The 20,087-nt window shown below is 45.6% G+C and overlaps 1 protein-coding gene and 1 long non-coding RNA gene across 8 annotated transcripts, besides 1 other annotated feature; one reads left to right on the top strand and one right to left on the bottom strand.

The window, feature by feature from the left end:
- SPMIP6 (sperm microtubule inner protein 6) lies at positions 250-19,041 on the top strand. 7 transcript variants are annotated; one of them, NM_032596.4, is made up of 7 exons: positions 250-561; positions 12,279-12,423; positions 15,191-15,306; positions 16,616-16,691; positions 16,929-17,158; positions 18,328-18,414; positions 18,879-19,041. In NM_032596.4, exons 1-6 carry the CDS (start codon positions 427-429, stop codon positions 18,412-18,414), a joined length of 789 nt encoding a protein of 262 aa, NP_115985.2. In that variant the 5' UTR covers positions 250-426; the 3' UTR covers positions 18,879-19,041. The 7 variants fall into 7 exon arrangements, with proteins under 7 accessions (NP_115985.2, NP_001397891.1, XP_011516357.1 ...); NM_001410962.1 differs by having other exon boundaries at positions 16,929-17,163; XM_011518055.3 differs by lacking the exons at positions 250-561; positions 12,279-12,423; positions 15,191-15,306 and adding an exon at positions 15,935-16,340 and having other exon boundaries at positions 16,929-17,163.
- Positions 1,726-17,160, bottom strand: LOC124902144 (uncharacterized). Its single transcript, XR_007061464.1, has 2 exons — positions 16,770-17,160; positions 1,726-9,899 (listed from the first exon to the last, which is right to left on the bottom strand). It is a non-coding gene; the product is annotated as an uncharacterized LOC124902144 (long non-coding RNA).
- Positions 16,642-17,247: an enhancer, noted in NCBI's record as "H3K4me1 hESC enhancer chr9:34380811-34381416 (GRCh37/hg19 assembly coordinates)". NCBI's record gives its function as "activates a minimal SCP1, AML or CMV promoter by ChIP-STARR-seq in naive H9 embryonic stem cells {active_cell/tissue: H9 hESC(naive)}" and the evidence as "EXISTENCE:reporter gene assay evidence [ECO:0000049][PMID:30033119]".
- Positions 19,042-20,087: the final 1,046 nt, after the last annotated feature.

The following is a 20,087-nucleotide window of genomic DNA, read 5'->3' as shown; positions in this document are numbered from 1 at the left end:
GCTGCATGACCCTGGGTGAGTCACAACCCCTCCGAACCTCTGTTTCTCTTCAACAGTGAGAAACCTGACCTAGAAGATCTCCAGAGGCCCTCTGAACTCTTAGAAATTGGGCTCTTTTGATAGGCTTGAGGCAGGAGGGGGTCAGGAGCAGGGAGGGAATTAGACCTCCTCACCTTCCCAGGGATGGGGCTGAGCCAGGTGATATCACAATGGGCAGTGCCCATCCTGGAGGGGGCATCAGTGTGGGGTGGGAGCAGGAAGGCTGTTGGGGAAGGAAGCTGAGAGATCCTCTGCAGGAGGGGATTATAGCAGCTAAGGGCACCTGCCAGGCTGGAGGTGTGGCCTGTCTAGGGGAAGGGTGGTCACTGATGTCCAGCAGGAGCCCTTGACAGGTAGAGCCCACCACGGCATCTCCAAGACCACACCATGTTCCTGTTCTCCCGTAAGACCAGGACCCCTATCAGTACCTACAGTGACTCCTACAGGGCTCCCACCTCCATCAAGGAGGTCTATAAGGACCCACCCCTGTGTGCCTGGGAAGCCAACAAGTTTCTGACTCCGGTAAGTGGGAGATTGGTGGGGAGGGGCAGGCCAGAGTGTATGGCCAGTCTGGATGCCTGGCAATGTATGTTTGTAATGATTTGTAGCTTTGTGTATGTGTGTGTTTTATTCATTTACCTAGGCACAGAATTTACAATGGTATGTAAAACAGCACAAAATCCTGCCTTCATGGAATTACATTAGGGTAGGAGGTAGGAACAGGCAGATAATAAGAAATAAACATGAGTTTTATAAATTCTTCAAAAATACTGTAAAGGAAATAAACAGAGTAGTGGAAGTGGAAATGGAAAGGGAGGGCTACTTAGGTCATGGAAAACCCTCTCTCAAGGTGACAATAAACTGAGACTGGAAAGATGAGATAGAACTAGCCACATGAAGACCTGAAAGAATAGAAGAGCTGAAAGTTCCAGACAAGTGATCACAAAGTGCAAAGGCCCTGAGGCTGCCTGTGGAATAGGCCGGAAACTGTCCTATATGCATGCCTTTATCTATATGTATCACAGTTTACTTGTGTCTGTGCTTGAAGATTGGTGGCCAGGTGGGAGGAAATCTGTGAGTCTAACTGTGACTCTGCCTAAGAGAATTTATCTGTGTGTACCATCCAACTTTGCTGAGTATCTTCATCTGTAGGCAACCCAGGATACAAAAGGGAAGGGCCAGCCCTTGCCTTTGAGGAGCTCACAGCAAACAAGTGAACAAAGTAGAGTTGCCCGATGTGGAACATGCACCAGCAGAGGTGGAGAGCCAGAAAGGGGAGAGCGCTGCCCAACCTGAAGGGCAGACCTACTGAGGGATCCAGGAGGAGGAGGCTTCCAGCAGAAGACAGTCAGGAGAAAAGGCAGCCTGTGGGCAGGGACCTACCAGAAACTGAAACTGTTAGAGCAGGAGAGTTTAGTCCTTGGGTGAGAGAGGAGTCTGCAGACCAAGAAGGGCCTCTCTGGCTATGTTGTGGAGCGTGGACATAAGGCTCCAGGTTTTTGAACCTGGGAGGGAGAGTCATGGTTCAATTGTGAGTTAGGCCACTCTGGCCACAGTGTCAGGGAATTGCAGGGGCTGGGGTTGAGGGCAGGAAGGCCAGCGAGGGGTGAACAGATGAGGAAGGAGGATGTAGGTGGGAGATAAGGAGATTGTCACAATGAAAAAAGGAATTCGTTGAATAGGAGAGAATTTTTAAAATAATTTATTTTGTCTAACTCCAAAATAAATATACGCTGAATGTAGAAAATGCAGATAACTCAGAGAAGCACAAAGAAAAAAGGTCTAAAATCCTACTACCTAAAATTACCATTGTTAATATATTATCGTATGCCCTTTCAGGAAGCAAATATTGTTTATTATAAAAATAAATAAAATTTATTACAAAATGGTGTATTTAAGGAATCTTATTGAAAATTTAGGTACTTTATAAAATTTTGCTAGTATAATCATTCTTATACATGTATCTTTGTACACATTTCCAATTATTCCCTTAGGATAAATTACTAGACATGAAATTGTTAGGAGAAAAGATATACACATTTTTAAAACTTTTGCTATATACCTCAAATTGCCATAATAAGTAAGGGTTGTAACAATTTACATTTCCACAAGCAAAATATGAGAGTGCCTGACTCCATACTCAATAGAAGGGAATTTTAAAAAGTAGATGAACAGATTTTGGTCACCATATGGATGGTAAGGTGAGAGATTAGGGTGACCCTTGAGTTTTTGGCTGTGGCAGCTGGAGGAATGCTAATGCTATCAACTGAGGTTTGGAATAACAGATTAGAGATTTGGAGTTCATTTGAGAACAAAAATATTTGAGGATATCCAGGAAAAGATGTTTGGCAAGTAGTTAGATATACTTATCTGAAGCAAAGGAAAGAGGTCTGGGTTATAGATAGAGATCTTGAAGTCATCATCATATAAATGGTGGGTGAAGTCATAGGAAGAGATGAAATTGCCAAAGAAGAGAGAGAAAATGGCCAAGGACATAACTTTGGAGAATATAAATATTTAAGGGTAGGTAAAGGAAAAAAAGCCATAAAAGAAGACAGAGAATTATTGCCAGAGAACTAGGAGGAAAATCAAAGATAAACCAATAAAGACAGCATTATTAGACAAAGATCAGTGTCAAGTGTTAGTGACAGAGAAATCTCTCGGATGTAGTAACTCTTGGTAACTTAGCCAGACAGCTTCAATGAATGGCGAGGAGTGAAAGTCAGATAGCAGTGGTATTAAGAATGAAGGAAAAGCCAGGCATGGTGTCTCAGGCCAGTAATCCAAGCACTTTGGGAGGTTGAAGCAGACAGGAAGATTGCTTGAGCCTACGAGTTCAAGACCAGCCTGGGCATCATGGTGAAATCCTGTCTCTACCAAAAATACAAAGATTAGCCAGGTGCAGTGGCATGTGCCCATAGTCCCAGCTACTCGGGAGGCTGAGATAGAATCACTTGAGCCCAGGAGGTTGAGGCTGCAGTGAGCCTTGATCACACCACTTTACTCCAGCCTGGATGACAGAGCGAGGCCCTGTCTCTTAAAAAAAAAAAAAAAGAATGAAGGAAAAGCTGCTGCTTTTGGCAGTATGGTGGTCTAGAAACTCTGAAGGGCCCTGTTGCTTCAAAACAACTTAAGTTCTGAATAAAAATTAATTTTTATTTTGTGTTGGAGTCTCATGGAGATGAGTGGTAAGTATAGTTAAGAAGACAGGATTGTCCTGAGGACAAATGCCATTATTAGCACTATAAACAGGCATTTAAGCCTTAAACTAGCTGAAAGATAGAGGAATTAAATCTGTACATTCCAAACTTAACCAGAAAGTTCCATGTCTCTGCCCCCCAACACACACCCCACACACACATATTTATCTTCAATGGCGGTAAACATCCTCAGTGTAGGTTTCCAGGTATCCTTTGAAGAACGGCCAATTAAACATGAGCTCACAATAAGAGATAAAAGAAAACAAACCACCATATTACAGAATCTGCAGACACAACAAACAATAAACTTAAACTCCCAAGAATTTCAGATATTAGAATTAACAGTTAAATAATATAGAATAATTGGGCCGGGTGCAGTGGCTCACAGCTGTAATCCCAGCACTTTGGGAGGCCGAGGTGGGTGGATCATGAGGTCAGGAGATCGAGACCATCCTGGCTAACACGGTGAAACCCCATCTCTACTAAAAATATAAAAAATTAGCCGGGCATGGTGGTGGATGCCTGTAGTCCCAGCTACTCAGGAGGCTGAGGCAGGAGAATGGTGTGAACCCAGGAGGCAGAGCTTGCAATGAGCCAAGATCATGCCACCGCACTCCAGCCTGGGTGACAGAGCAAGACTCCATCTCAAAAAATAATAATATAGAATAATTATGATTTTTTAAAAATGTGAAATCTGGCCAGGCATAGTGGCTCATGCCTGTAGTAATCCCAGTACTTTGGAAGGCTGAGACAGGAAGATCACTTGAGGCCAAGAGTTCAAGACTAGCCTAGGCAACATAGTGAGACCTTGTCTCTATTTAAAAAATAAAAATACGAAATCATTAAAATAAGCAAGCAATAAGAGATTATTAAAAAATGAGTAGGCAAATGTAAAAAGGAACTGAATAGAATTTTTAGAAATGAAAAATGTATTTGCTAAACCAAAAATTCAGCAGATGGATTAAAGAGTAGAGTCAACACAGCTGAAAAGTCCAGTGAAATGAAAAATAGACTGAAAAAATTTTCCCAGAACGCAGCACAGAGAGACAAAGAGATGAAAATATGAAAGAAACATTAAATGATATGAAAGACAGAATGAGAAGATCCCACAAACATCTAATGGGAATCTCAGAAGGAAAGAGCATAAAGAACAGTTATTATTTAAAAAGAAAAAGGCTCAGAATTTTCCAGAACTAACAAAATAAATGAATCCACAAATAGAGAAAAAAAATAGAAGAAATTCCACAGTTAGGCACCTCACAATGAAACTGCAGTTCACCAGCTTAAGAGATGACCTTAAAAACAGACAAAGAAAAAAAATTCTCGAAGTGTCATCCTTTCAAAAACCAAGGAAAGATAAGACATTTACAGGAAAACAATGAAAATGTTTATTACCCTCAGGTCTATATACAATAAAGGAACTTCTAAAGGATATACTCTGGGGAGAAGGAAAATGATCACAGAAGGAAAGTCTGAGATGCAAGAAGGAATGGTAAGGAACTGATAAACATGAGGTAAATTTAAGCAAACGTTATCTATAGAAAATAATTATAATGGCTTTTAATCTGTAATATTTAAAGGAAGAACTAAAATATTACAAAACTATCATTTAAGTTGGAACAGGACAGAGTTAGGTGTTCCTAGATTCTCCCATTGTTCTAAAGAGAGCATAAGACATAGTTTTGTACTGTCAACTAGCTGGAACTATACTTGCAAGAATTCCCTTTCCTAAATGTTTCCTAATTGGCCATGAGAGAAATCTGCATGATATTTGGAAAGAATAAATGAAAGAACAGCCATTTTTACCCTCTGAAGATTGACGTGGGGTACCAAGCACTGTGGCACCTTATGCACAATGTTGCTGATTTAGTAGTTCACCTTATTGCCATAGAGCAGCATTTGGCTACAACCCCTCTAGCTCCCACTGGATCTCCTTCAACCTCTCTGGGTCCTGGGCCAGGTGTATGTACAATTCCATGGCAAAGGGCACCAGCTTGTCCTGAAGGCCATCCATATCATCATTGTTGTAGGCAGTGAGACAGATGCAAATTCGACTTTGTTCTCCTCATGAGTTCCAGTTTGTCCTTGCTCTTCCCCACTTCATGTCCAGTTCTGCTTCCTGATGCCAGCCACTGACTTCAGGCTTAAAAATAGATGCAAAGACAACAGCTTTGCAGAGTTCTTAACCAGTATCCACAATTGTGTAAAGTCTCATCTCTCAAGTAAATCCCTTATGCTATATCACTAAAAGTGGTTTCTCTGATCCAAATTTGACTGATACAGATACAATAACAAAAAACTGAGTAAGCTAAAAAGTAACAGACAAAAGAGATTTTCAGATTAAACACACACACACACACACACACACACACACACACGGTTTTTAGATGGATCACCACATAAATGACAAAGTTTCAATTCACCAGGAAGATATTATAATTACAAACTTGTATTGGCCTGATAGAATTAATAGAAGGACCTGTAATTCTAGCACTTTGGGAGGCCCAGGTAGGAGGATCATTTGAGCCCAGGAGTTTAGGACCAGCCTGGACAACATAACAAGACCCCATCTCTACAAAAAAATTTAAAAATTAGCTGGGTGTGATGGTGTGTGCCTACAGTCAGGAAGCTGAGACAGGAAGATGGCTTGAGCCCAGGAGTTTGAGGCTGCAATGAGCCACGATCACACCACTGTGCTCCAGCCTGGGTGACAAAGTAAGACCCTGTCTCAAAAAACAAAACAAACAAACAAACAAACCATGCCAGCCTGAGCAACAAAGCAAGATATCATCTCTACAAAATGTTTTAAAAATAAAAATAAAGAATTACCAGATGGAGAAATTGGCAAAATATACCATATTAGATTGTAACACTACAATTACTGATTGGTCAAGCAGACATCCCCAACCCCCAAAAAAAGCAAAGATCTAAAACTCTCGCAATATAATTAGTATACTTGATTTATTTAACATAAATAAAGCCCTGAACCCAACTACTACAGATTTAAACATACAAGGAACATGATAAAAGTGGACCAAGTACTAAGTCATAAAACAAACATAAACAGAATTCTAAGATTGACATCATACAAAATAACTGTCTCTAACCTCAATGTAATAAAATTACAGATCAACAACAAAAAGATAACCAAAATCCTTTGTGAGTTTAAAATTTTGAAAACCACCATTCTAAATAATGGGTCAAATAAGAAATCAAAACAAATGGAAATATACTCAGAACTGAAAAGACTGCATATCAAAACTTGTGGGGTACAATAAAAGCTGTAGAGGAAAACCTATATCCCTAAATCCTTGTCTAAAAAAATGTGAAACATAAATGACCTGAGCATCAGACTTAACAACTTATGGGGAAAAGAATAAATGTGAAAAATAGAAGAATGGAGATAATGAAAATAAGAGCAAAAGTTAAACTAGAAAGCAAAGATTCAACAAGATGAACAGGCAAAAGTTGTTTCTTTGATGAGGCTCATAAAATAGACAAATCTCTAGAGAATTAAGAAAAACAAGGCACAGACAAATAAAAGAAGGGTCTAACAATAGATGTAGAAGAAATTAAAAGTAAGAGAACGTTCTGAACAACTTTATGCTAATAAAATTGAAAACAAATGGACAAACACAAGAAAAATAAAACTTGCCAAACCAATTCAAGAATTGGAAAAAATCTGAATGCTCCTATAACGATTTAAAAAATTAAACCAGTAATTTGAAAACTTTCCACAAAGAAAACACCCAGCATAGATAAACAGTTACATTCCTCAAATGCTCGAAGAACAGTTGTTTTAATCTTATACAAACTCTGTCAGGGAACAGAAAAAAAGAGGATGCTTCCTAACTCATTCTATGAACCCAGCATAACTTTGATACAAAATTAATCAAGAAGGCCAGGTGCAGTGGCTCACACCTGTAATCCTAGCACTTTGGGAGTCTGAGGCAGGAGGATTGCTTGAGCCCAGGAGTTCAAGACCAGCCTGGGCAACATAGTGAGACCCCCGTCTCTACAAAAAAATTTAAAAATTAGCCAGGTGTGGTGGCACACACCTATGGTCCCAGCTGCTGCGGAGGCTGAAGCAGGAGGAATGCTTGAGCCCACAAAAAAAAATTAATCAAAAGTGTATAAGAAAATAAAAGTATACAGTCCAATTCATTCATAAATACAAAAGCAAAAATTCTAAATAAAATATTAGAAAACCGTATCCGGTAGTGTATAAAAAATAATTTGTGATGGTTACATTGTATTTATTTCATAAATGCAAGGATAGTTTAACATTAGAAAAATAAATATCATTCATCACATTAACAGATTCAAGAAAAAAAACAGAAGATCATTTCAAAATATGCAGAAATGGACATGAGATCTTAGTAAAAATTCTTGAACTGTACAGTTTGAGTGAAATTTATGGTATGTAAATTATACCTCAATGAAGCCATTTTAAAAAGATGCAGAAATAGCAGTTACTAAAATTTATTAACCATTTATAACTAAAAAAGAAAAACTTAGCAAATATAACCTGATAAAAAATATATACAAAAAATATACAGCCAACATTATTCTGATTAACTGTTAGAAGCATTCTTTTAAAAATTGGAATCAAGGCAAGGATGTTCACTACTTCTATTCAGCATTGCACTGGAGGTCCTGGCAAGGACACCACAAAAAAAAAAGTAAAAAGATTTAAGAAATGGAAAGGAAAAAAACAAAACTGTCATTATTTGCAGATAATACAACTGCATATATAGAATCTACAAATTGGCTGGTCCAAGGTAGTGAGTTATCTCAATTGATTGTTCACAGTCAGTTACAGATCAAACTCCTTGTTCCACTCTTTCTCTCCTCACTAGTGTGTTGGACTAGTCTTAAAAAAAAAAAAAAAAATCTACACACATTATTAGAATAATTGGATAAATATTAAAAGTCAATCACATTTCTTAACACAAATATTTAGGAAGCATAATTTTTAAAATATACATCATTCTAGCATCAAAAAATAAAGATAATTAGAAATCTAACAATGTATGTAAAACTATATGGATAATATTATAAAACTTTATTGAATACTTTTTTAAAAATACTTAAATAAATGGAGAGATATAACATGCTCACGAATGGGAATAGTTACTATCATAAAGATTCAGTGCCACCGGGCGTGGTTCTCAGCACTTTAGGAGGCTGAGGCAGGCAGATTGCTTGAACTCAGGAGCTCAAGACCAGCCTGGGCAATATGGTGAAACCTCATCTCTACAAAAAATACAAAAATTGGCAGGGCATGGTAGTGTGTGCCTGTAGTCCCAGTTACTAATTAAAATCCCAAAAGGATTTTTTGAAGACTTCAATAAACTTTTTAAAATTTATAGAGAAGGGCAAAAGTTCAAGAAATAGCTGTAACACACTTAAAGAAGATGAGTTATCCAAACTCCTGACAGATTAAATATGGAAAGTAAAACTTTTGTGTTTACAAGGAGATACAGAACATTGTCTCCATTATCTGAGAGTATGGTTTAATTTCTTAAATAATTCACAGAAAGCACTGACCACACAAGAAGAGGTTCATCAAGACACTATAAAGAAAAGTAAAAGCCAGGTGCAATGGTTCACACCTGTACTTTGGGAGTCTAAGGCAGGAGGATCACTTGAGCTCAGGAGTTCAAGACCACCCTGGGAAACACAGGGAAACATCGTCTCTATAAACAAATTTAAAAAAAAATCAGCTGGGTGTGGTGGTGTGCACCTGTAGTCCCAGCTATTCGGTAGGCTAAGGCAAGAGGATAGCTTTAGCCCAGGAGGTAGAGACTGCAGTGAACTGTGATTGTGCCACTGCACTCCAGCCTGGGCAACAGTGAGACCCTGTCTCAAAAAAAAAAAAAAAAAAAGAAAGAGAGAGGAAAGAAATGTAAAGACAGAAGCCACAAACAGAAAAGATAAATATCTTTTATATACATTTGCAACATGTATAGGTGCCAATAGTAAAGGACTAATATACAGAATATATAAAGAATTATAATTCTCTTGGTTAAAATTGAACACATGTTTTGACTCCCTCCTAAAACCCCTCTAAAACTACAGTAAATGAATATTTAAGAGATAAACTCACAAGGAGAGTGAGAAGGAAGAGGCAATGGCGACACAATTTTGGAAGCTGGAAAAGATGATAAATAAGTAGTAACTGACTTAGCAGATCGGAGAAAGCTGAATCTAAAGCAAGCAATGGAAAAGCCAAGCCATAATTCAACTTAAAACTGTAGAATTTTCAAAAGGCTCAGGAACTGGTAATCCTAGTCTTCTCTGGAACTGAGGATGGGACAGGGCCAAGGCAAAAATAAGGATTATTTGAAAGCTGTTAAGAAGCAGTTAGGCCAGGTGAGGTGGCTCACGCCTGTAATCCCAGTACTTTGGAAGGCTGAGGTGGGTGGACCACCTGATGTCAGGAGTTTGAGACCAGCCTGGCCAACATGGTGAAACCCCGTCTCCACTAAAAATACAAAAAAAAAAAAAAAATTAGCTGGGAGTGGTGGCAGGCGCCTGTAATCCCAGCTACTTGGGAGGCTGAGGCAGGAGAATCACTTGAACCCGGGAGGCAGAGGTTGCAGTGAGCCAAGATTGTGCCATTGCACTCCAGCCTGGGTGAGAAGAGCGAAACTCCATCTAAAAAAAAAAAAAAAAAGCAGTTAAACTCACTAATCACCCCTTCTATTTCATGCCACAGGGTAACTGCCCACCTCTGTCTCTGCTAAAGTCAGGAGACTAATTTTTGGCAAGGACCTCAGGACTGGGGATACCAATTGAGGACAGGGTACCATTTTGAAAACAAGTGAACCCCCATATACTGAATGCTAAAATCCCCAGCGCAATCTTCAGCACTAGATTCTCAGAACACTGGCAGCTAAGTCATTACCCTCAGGCCAAAGGTTGAAGGAGTCTTTTCTGAAGAATCTCATCAGCCAAGAGGAAAGACCTACAGATATTGACATTAGAGTTTGCAAAATATTGTCCAACGAGATCATCCTACAGTGATGCTGATGGTGGACAAAGCCTACACACAGCTCAAAGCCTTCAATAAGCTTTTATAATCTCCTACTTATCAACAGGAGCAGACAAAGAGGAAACATCTGAGGAAAGCATCTAACAGAAAAATTGACGATGTCTATGAATTCTTCTAAATGACTGTTTTGTTTGTGTGTGTGTGTATCTGTGTTTAGTGTGTAAGTGGGTGTATCTGAGTGTGTATGTATGAATATACACCTATATGTGCATCTATGGGTGTATCTGGGTACACAGGGGTGTGTGTGTGTGTGTAAAGCTCGGAGAAATGCTGAGTCACGGGACCCATGCACCCACATCTCCCATATTCTGCCCGCCACCCACGTAGAAGTGTGACTGTGCAGGAGCTGCTCACAGAACAATGTCAGCTGGGCACAGTTGATCCCAGAAGCCCCTGAGCAGAGAGGTTTTGAGGATGGTTGGAGCACTTGGAGCAACCAGGTCTCAGCCTTGGCCAAGAGAAGGGCCAGGTGTGGTGGCTCATGCCTGTAATCCCAGCACTTTGGGAAGTCAAGGTGGGAAGATCCCTTGAGTCCAGGAGTTCAAGACCAGCCTGGGCAACATGGTGAAACTCCATCTCTATGAAAAATACCAGGTGTGGTGCACATGCCTGGGAGGCTGAGGCGGGAGGATCACTTGAGCCTGGGAGGTTAGGGCTTCAGCCATGATGGTATCACTGCACTTCAGCCTGGGTGGCAGAGTGAGACTTTGTCTCAAAAAAAAAAAAAAAAAAATCATAAGGATCAAGTGTGGGTGATAGCATCACTGTCCCAGCACCTCACTGCCCGTTATGAGGAAGAAGCCCTATCTGACTTTGCTGGGTGTCCCACCCCTGTGACCCAGCTGCCTTTTCAGACCAGCTGCCTGCAGATACCTGTGGGTCTACAACTAACTTGTCATTCAGCCCTCAGCTGAGGAAAAAGGGGCCCCGAAGGGAGGCCCTGATCCAGGCGTCACAGATCTAGTCAGACAAGAAGTGACAGGGTAAGTTGAGGTGAACCCCAAAAAGCACAGGGGCCCAGGGCCTGGACCAAGAACAGGAAAAGTGTCAAGGTAGGGTGAGGACCAGGCCAAATTGAAGGTCAGGGTCAAAGGCAACACTGGTGTCAGGGCCAGAGCCACAGCAGAATCAGGGCCAGGTTGCAGTCAGGAAATTACTTTTTTTTTTTTTTTTTTTGAGACGAAGTCTTGCTCTGTCGCCAGACTGGAGTGCAGTGGCACGATCTCAGCTCACTGCAACCTCTCCCTCCTGGGTTGATTCTCCTGCCTCAGCCTCCCGAGTAGCTGGGACTATAGGAGCTCGCCACCATGCCCAGCTAATTTTTGTATTTTTAGTAGAGACGGGATTTCACCATGTTAGCCAGGATAGTCTCCATCTCTTGATCTCGTGATCCGCCTGCCTCGGCCTCCCAAAGGGCTAGGATTACAGGTGTGAGTCACCACGCCCAGCCGGGAATTACATTTTAAAGTAGGTGCCCCTCCAGCACTGTCCTTCATTTTCTTTAAGATGCTAGATTCCCAGAGAGCCTTTCCTGTCCAAGACACCTACATAAGGCAGCCAGCTCCCAGGGTAGCCCTCTTTTCTGAGACTGGGGCCTGATGCACTGTTGGCAGAGACCCAGCCCTGCTCCCAGGCAGCATACAGTCTAGGAGAAAAAGGACAGGTATATGTAGCTCTGACCTTCATGAGCTCCCCACCAGGAAATGGCAGAAATGAGAAAGTCAGAAAACTACTCTGACGTAAGGCCACCGCTCGGCCCCAAGCCCTAGCCTTGGATGAAAAGAAAGGAGGAAAGGGTAATTCAGACAAGAGCACTGTGCAGAGGAGCCAAGGCTAGCATGGGAATCCCTCTGACATGGGGAGGGGGGTTGGGAGACCCACCTGGGCTGACCTTCTCAAGAGAGGCTGGATCTAGTTCCAGCAAGACCCCAGGGCTGGGGTCTCTGTGCCCCTAACCACTTCTCTCCTCTCCCCTTGCCCAGGGTCTGACTCATACCATGGAGCGACATGTGGATCCCGAAGCCCTGCAGAAGATGGCCAAATGTGCTGTACAGGACTACACTTATAGGGGGTCCATATCAGGCCACCCCTACTTGCCTGAGAAGTACTGGCTTTCTCAAGAGGAAGGTAAGGCCTCACCCTTTGCTGACCCCTAAAATGACCCCCAACCTGAACCCAACCACCTGGATCGTGACCTCTATCCTTTTTTTTTTTTTTTTTTTTTTTTTGAGACGGAGTTTCGCTCTTGTTGCCCAGTCTGGGTGCAATGGCATGATCTCGGCTCACTGCAACCCACTTCCACCTCCCAGGTTCAAGTGATTTTCCTACCTTAGCCTCCTGAGTAGCTGGGACTACAGGCATGTGCCACCAGGCCCGGCTAATTTTTGTATTTTCAGTAGAGATGGGGTTTCACCATGTTGGCCAGGCTGGTCTCGAACTTCTGACCTCAGGTGATCTGCCCGCCTCGGCCTCCCAAAATGCTGGGATTACAGGCCTGAGCCACCATGCCCAGCCTCCATCCTGATTCTATGTCAACTTTATCTCCACCCATGACCTAGATTTCTTCCCTAACCACCCCCTCCACCAACCACCTGACCTGACCCTGGCCCTGGAGGAGATGACCTAGGCCCTGCTTTTTGGGGTTCTTGTCGGTGGAAAAAAAAACCTGGAAGGGCCCTGGGTCCCATCCTTAGCGAGTTGGAGAAAGGATTAACCTCCCACAGACAGATCCCTCCAAGTGCATTCCAGATACCATCTCCTCCCATCTTCCCAGCCATCCTGCTCCCATCAGCTCCCTCCACCTCTCCTGCATCCCTCTGCCCCACCACACCTCTTTCCCTCAACCTGGAACCTTCTCTAGTTTCTTCCCAACTAAAAATTATCTCTTGCTCCTGTTCTCAACAGCCTAGGTTCTCGGAAACATGGTCCATACTCACTGTCTCTATTTCCTCACCCTTTCTTATACCTTATGAGAAACTGTCTTTCTCATTTGCTTGGATATAATATAATCTGTCTGGCTGTACATTCGAAAAGAGCCGAGTCTGGTCTTATTCACAGCTGTGCCCCTCCATCGAGCACAGCACCAGGCTTCATAAGTCTTTGTTGAATGGACTGAGAATTCCCAATGGAAGTTGGGAATGTGCATCTCCTATGATGAAACAATAAATTGCTCTTGCATGGCTCTGATTACCAAATCCACAGGACTCTGCAGTCTTTACCCTCTGAGACCTTTACCCTCCTAGACCAATGAATTGCACTCTTCTGACCACTCTCTACTCGTTTTGTTGTTGATGTTGTTTTGTATGTTAATCCTCCAGCACACAGGCTATGACCACACTCTACTTCTTGAAACAACTTCCTCCTCAGCTTCTCTGATGCCTCCCTTTCCTGTGCATCCACTGTGGAAACATGGGGTTCCTCAGGGTGTTATCCTGCACCCTCTTCTCCCCTTGCTCCTCCTCCAAGGCCATTTGATTTAACACAAGCCTTTAATTACTGACAGCTTCAAATCCTAATTTCCAGATTTGTCCTCTCATCAGAATTCCACTCTTCTTCATATGCTTATAGTCATCTTGATCTGGATGTCCCCAAACACCTCAGTTTCAGTATGTGCAAACTGCCATCCCCGAACTCCAAATCCCAGCACTGCACCCCTCCCCTCAGACAGCTGCTCTTCGCTAGGGCTTCCTCCACACCGTGTCGCATATGTATTCTTTCAGACTGTTGGATCATGGAGGGCCTTGTAGGACAGGCTTAGGTGACTGGGGGCTAAGGCAGACAAACCCTATAGGGTTTTAAGTAGGAGGGTGTCTTGGTCAAATTTTCATTTGTGAAAAGTACCACAGGTGCTATGTCAAGGCTGGATTATAGGATTTCAAAGGTGAGGCAAGGATAACAGTAGAATAATCATAATAGTTTTTTATGTGCCAAGCATCATTCTAAATGTCTTACATATACTAACTCACTTAAACCTCACAGCAACCCTGTGAAGTAAATGGTACTATTATCCCCATTTTAAAGTTGGAGAAACTGAGACACATCAAAATTAATTAATTCAGTCAGGGTCACACAGATAATAATTGTAAAACTGAAATTTAAACACAAGCAGTCTATCTGCAGAGATAGGTATCTATTAACCAAGACATTATATTGTCTTCTGGTTAAGGTGCTGCAAAGATATGGAAGTGAGATCATGGGGCACTGGAAGAGGAAGTAGATTCAAGTTATTTATCTATTTATTGAGACTGAGTCTTGATCTGTCACCCAGGCTGGAGTGCAGTGGCATGACCTTGGCTCACTGAAACATCTGCCTCCCTGGTTTGAGCTATTCTCATGCCTCAGCCCCCTGAGTAGCTGGGTTTACAGGCGCACACCAACCATGCCCAACTAATTTTTGTATTTTAGTAGAGACAGGATTTTGCCATGTTGGCCAGGCTGGTCTCGAACTCCTGACCTCAAGTGATCTGCCTGCCCTGGCCTCCCAAAGTGCTAGGATTACAGGCATGAGCCACCTTGCCTGGCCAGATTCGAGTGATTTTGAAGGAGGCAGAATAGGCAAACCTTAGAGCCTAGAGTAGAAGATGAGAGAGAGGGAGGAATTGGGAAGAGGCTCCTTGTCCAGGCTGGCTGATTCAAAAAGGGTAGTGGCAGGATGAAAAGTGGCTGGCACAGTGGATCCAGACTAAACTCAGAAGGTTGCCTTAGATGGGACATGGGCTGCATCTCAGTGTTTAAGACAAGTGTAGGCCCGGCTGGGCTTGGGGTCTCTGGCTTGAGGACAGTCTGTGAGGGTCAGCTTTGTGCTGGGAATCGGAAGAGAAACATGTAGGGGATCTCAGATCCTGGAGTAGAGTAAGAAGTAACACTATTTGACATCTCCACCCCTATTATCCAGCAGACAAATGCAGCCCAAACTACCTGGGCAGTGACTGGTACAACACATGGAGGATGGAACCTTACAACAGCAGCTGCTGCAACAAGTATACCACCTACCTTCCTCGGCTGCCTAAGGTATCTGTTGCACCCAGCACAGACGTCTGGGGACTGGGACACGCATACCCCACCACCTCCCAAACTACAGTGACTGATATTTCACCATTAGGTCCTCATTGCTTTCCCAACAAATGCCCCAGAGCTCTTCCGCATCTGTGAAACTAGAGTTTGTATTTTTTTTTTTTTTTAGATAGAGTCTCACTCTATCACCCAGGCTGGAGCGCAGTGGCGCAACCTTGGCTCACTGCAACCTCTGCCTCCTGGGTTCAAGCAATTCTGCTACCTCACACTCCCGAGCAGCTGGGATTACAGGCATGCGCCATCACATCTGGCTAATTTTTGTATTGTTAGTAGAGACGGGGATCTTGCCATGTTGGCCAGGCTGGTCTTGGACTCCTGGCCTCAAGTGATCCACCTGCCTCGGCCTCCTAAAATGCTGGGATTACCGGCATGAGCCACTGCACCTGGCCGGGTTTGAATTTTTTTAGTTGAAAAAGGAACCCAAAAGTAGGGCTGTGCTGGGCCCCTGGCTCTCAATCTCTGGGGATTGGGTGCCCTGGGCTCCAATCCCTGGCTGGGCTCTGTAGGGACATGACTGGTGTGCACTCCTTGATATACTACCTTTCCGAAGCTTGCCAGCTGGCCCCTCCCCATATAGTCTGGCCTCTGTGATACTGGGGCTAGCCAAGGAGTCAGTGATACAATGAATCTCCCTGCTCCACCTTCTCCTCCTTTGTGATGTGAGCACAGACGGAAGGAGAAAGACTAAGGCTACTCAATAGCAGTGCAGATACAGGAGAGTCTTCCAAGGACATAGGAGAAGGTCCAGCCACGGCCGCAAACTCAAGGGCACCTGAGAGGACCCAAAACCAGAGCCGGGGCTCTTAACTGCAGGCTGATGGCTGACCCTGGGTTGATGGAACCCTTTTGAATTAGAACTTCCTCAAGAATCGAATCTTTCACAAGTTCTCCGGAATGACAAGCAATATTGAAAACCCCCTATTAGAGAGACACCCAGACACAGCTAAACAGAGTCAGCTAGACAAAGAGGGGTAAAATCAAAGGCAAACGCTGAGACAGGGTTGTCACAGGCCCAGGAGCCAAACCCCATCCACCTTCAGCCCTTCCTACCCCACCCCGCCCCTGTTGGCGATGTAAAAGCGTTGCCCGGTGACAGCCGCCAACACAGAGCCCTGGAGAGGTGGGGAGCTGCTGAAGGGCGGGAGAAGTTGCGGCGTGGCGATAGGTCTGGGTGTTCTGGGAGGACCCCTAAAAGGGAGCAGCTCTGCCAGGTCAGAGCTTGAGGTAGCATGTGTGCCGCTTCCAGGAGGCCAGGATGGAGACAGCAGTTCGAGGAATGCCCTTGGAATGCCCTCCTAGGCCGGAGCGGCTCAATGCCTACGGTAAAGAGTGGTAGTGGGGCGTTGGAAAGAACGGGTGGAGAGGGTTGGGGAAGGCCGGGAGGAGGGCGGGATGGGTACCTGAAGGACGGGGAGGAGGCCGAGGGTCCTGGAGAGGGTGGAACCCTGAATCTATCCGTCCTGGCTTTTGTCTCCGCCTCACTCTGTCCGTGACTCGGCCTCTTCCCATCCCTGTGCATCTGTCTTTGGGTCTCCTGCGCTGGGGACCCGCGGGAGCAGAGCGCGAAGTGATGGTGAACATGCTGAACTCACTGTCGCGGAACCAGCAGCTGCCGCGGATCACGCCCCGATGCGGGTGCGTGGACCCGCTGCCCGGCCGCCTGCCCTTCCATGGTTACGAAAGTGCTTGCTCGGGCCGCCACTACTGTCTGCGCGGGATGGACTACTACGCCAGCGGGGCGCCCTGCACCGACCGCCGCCTGCGGCCTTGGTGCCGGGAGCAACCGACTGTAAGGTTCGCAGGGCTCCGCCCGCCTCAGCCGGGCTCCACCCCACACAAGCCCCGCCCCAGAACCCCGCCCCCTTCCAGCCCGGCCAGCTTCCGTGCAGGCCCCCAGCCTGCTCTAGCCCCGCGCTGCACGCTCTCGAGGCCCTGCCGTGTCCCGCCCTCGGGCTCCAAGGCCTGAACTAACAACTGAGGCGGGAGAACCAGCACGAAGGTTACTCCAAGTCCCCGACCCCTGTCCCTCTCAAACTGGGCTCAAGGTCAACCTGGCCTCTCTATATGCTCTGGAGGTCCCGTCAGAGGGTTTTTGAGGAAGAAACCCCGCACATCAGTCGCATCCTCTTCCCCCATCTCCTTGGCCCTGCCCCCTTTCCTGGACTCCTGGCCCTAGAGACGCAGGTTCTAGCCTGTGGAGTGCCCTGCGTTCTCAGAAAAATGTCCTCTCTTGCTGGTCCCCCGTCACCGTCGGTAGTGGGTGCGGTCATTCCTGGGGGCTACGTGAGCCGGGAAATGGTGACCACTTTACCAGAATGGCTCTGGCCTCCTCGGATCCCGCACCACCTGCGGAGGTAGGCACCCTCGCGTGTTACTGCTAAGAAAACTGAGGCCCGAGCGCACAGCTGGAGCCCAGACTGCAGCTCGGCATTCGTCCTGCACGCGGCGGCAGCCAAGCCTGGGAGAACTTTGTCCGCGGTAGCCCAGAGAGCTGTGCAGTGGGGGTCCATAGTGATCCCCCGCCCCTCTCCAGGCCGAGAGAGCCTGATTCATTGTGCAAGACTGAGTCTTATCCCTCTCAAGGGCATAGGGGAGTGGGAAAGTGTCTGAGCCTCTAGGAAGCTCAGAAATGATGCCTCGTCCTACTGCTGGAGAAATTGCTGTCCAGTGGCGGGGATCCGGTGGTTCCAGGTCCTCAACGCCCGGAGCCCGACCTTCCCCAGGGTCCAGCGCTCTTTCCTCAACGGCAGAAATGAGGCCTTGCCGGGAGGGAGTCTTCCAAGGGGGGTTCCCGAATCGGTGCTGCAGTGGGGGTTTTGAAGGGTGAGGAAGAAGGAGAGGAGGATTTCCGAGCCTTGGGACGGACACCTGAAGCGCCGCCCAGGGGCTTGGTCTAAATCGGGGGATGAGAGTCAAAAGGCCCAACCCCTCCATGCTCGCGGCTTCCTCCTTCTCCAGATGTGTACCTCCCTACGAGCACCGGCCCGGAATGCAGTGTGCTGTTACAACTCCCCCGCCGTCATACTACCCATATCCGAACCTTAGGTAAGTCTAACGCGCACACACTCATTTGCACACGCACCCTGAAGGCTTGGTGAGGCGGGGCTGGGGGAGGATGTCTGGTAGACGGGATGAGAACGCTCCGCGGTGCACTGACAGGCACATACCACGAGGGGGAGCTAGTGGCATGGAGCAGTCAAAGGTGGTAAGGACAGAGGACCTTAAGAGAGGGCTAGGAGGCCGGTATTGAAGGGTTACAGGTTGGCAGTGGGCTTACAGCCAAAGGCGTTGGTTCAGAGCTTGAAGTAATGAGTAAGAAGTCGATGTTAAGGAGGAAATATTGGGTATCAGCAACTTAACAGTAGAACCTAAGGTCAGGAGGTCAGTATTGGAACCCAAGGTCAGTGCTATAGACAAAGTGTAGGGATAAGGTTAGCATTGCAAACTGGAGTCAGATATTCACTTTGACATATGAGGATCCAAAACGGCTGACCCATCTCTTCCTGTAGATGGGACACAAGTCACTTCAAGAAGTCTGGTGGTCCCCAGAGAAACAACTATGTTATCCATCCTGAGTTTGTGTCTGAGACCTATCCCGACTATCGTTGCTGGTAGAGCCTGGGCTTGCTGTGCCAAGGGGGCAGAGCAATAAATAAACTCTTCAACCCCAAAGCCTGCCTCCTGTGTCCTTACCCAGCAGGATCTGGAAGTGAAGGGCCAGTCACTCAGGCCTCTATCAAACCCCTTCAACTGAGATGCAATTTTTCTCAAAGTCACCCTTCCCTGGGCCCTTCCAACCCCATCATCTCAGTACATCCCTGAGTGCCCTCCTGACACAGAACAGTAGCCTTATATCCAGCTGCTATCCTCCTCCCCTGAATCCCAGAGCCCAAACGGATGGGTCCACCCTGCAATGCAGGCAGGAGCCATCTACTTTCCACCCCACGAAGACCCTCCAGCTAACATTTCTTCAGTATGCTCCCAAACTTAGATGCCCTCCCACTCATCAGAGGACCCAGAATCCTTCCTTCCACAGTCAAAGACCTATCCCTACACCCAAAGCTCTTGATCTCTGCTTCCAGGAGTCCCCATCACAGCCTCCCAAAAGCCTCTCTGTGCTCAGACACCCTTGCTGCACAAGGTGTGTCCCCCATTCCAAGTCCAACTGGTCAAAACATAATTTTGGAGGGTCTCATGACAAAGAAATTTCAAGTTGCAAAACAAAGCCCTGTTTCTCTGCCCCTCAGGGAGCGAGAAGGGGCCATTCTAAAATCTCTGTGATCTTCAGTATTTTTATTTCTGCATCAAATAGATATGAAACCAGCTGGGTGCAGAGGCTCACACCTGTAATCTCACCACTTTGGGAGGCAGAGGCAGGAGGATCACTTGAGCCCAGGAATTCGATACCAGCTGGGGCAACATAAAGAGACCCCTTCTCTACAAAAAAATTTAAAAATTAGCAGGGTATGGTGGCACACACATGTGGTCCAAGTTACTCAGGAGCCTGAGGCGGGAGGGGATAGCTTGAACCAAGGACATTGAGGCTGCAGTGAGCTATGTTAACGCCACTGCACTCCAGCCTGGGCGACAGAGCGAGACCCTCTCTCAAAAAAATAAAGACCGGACGCGGTGGCCCACACTTGTAATCCCAGCACTTTGGGAGGCCGAGGCAGGTAGATCACCTGAGGTCAGGAGTTTGAGACCAGCCTGACCAACAT

Source organism: Homo sapiens, chromosome 9 (genome assembly GCF_000001405.40).
Source record: "Homo sapiens chromosome 9, GRCh38.p14 Primary Assembly".
NCBI lineage: Eukaryota > Metazoa > Chordata > Mammalia > Primates > Hominidae > Homo > Homo sapiens.
Note: the sequence above shows the minus strand (reverse complement) of the source record. Positions and strands in the feature narration are given on the sequence as shown.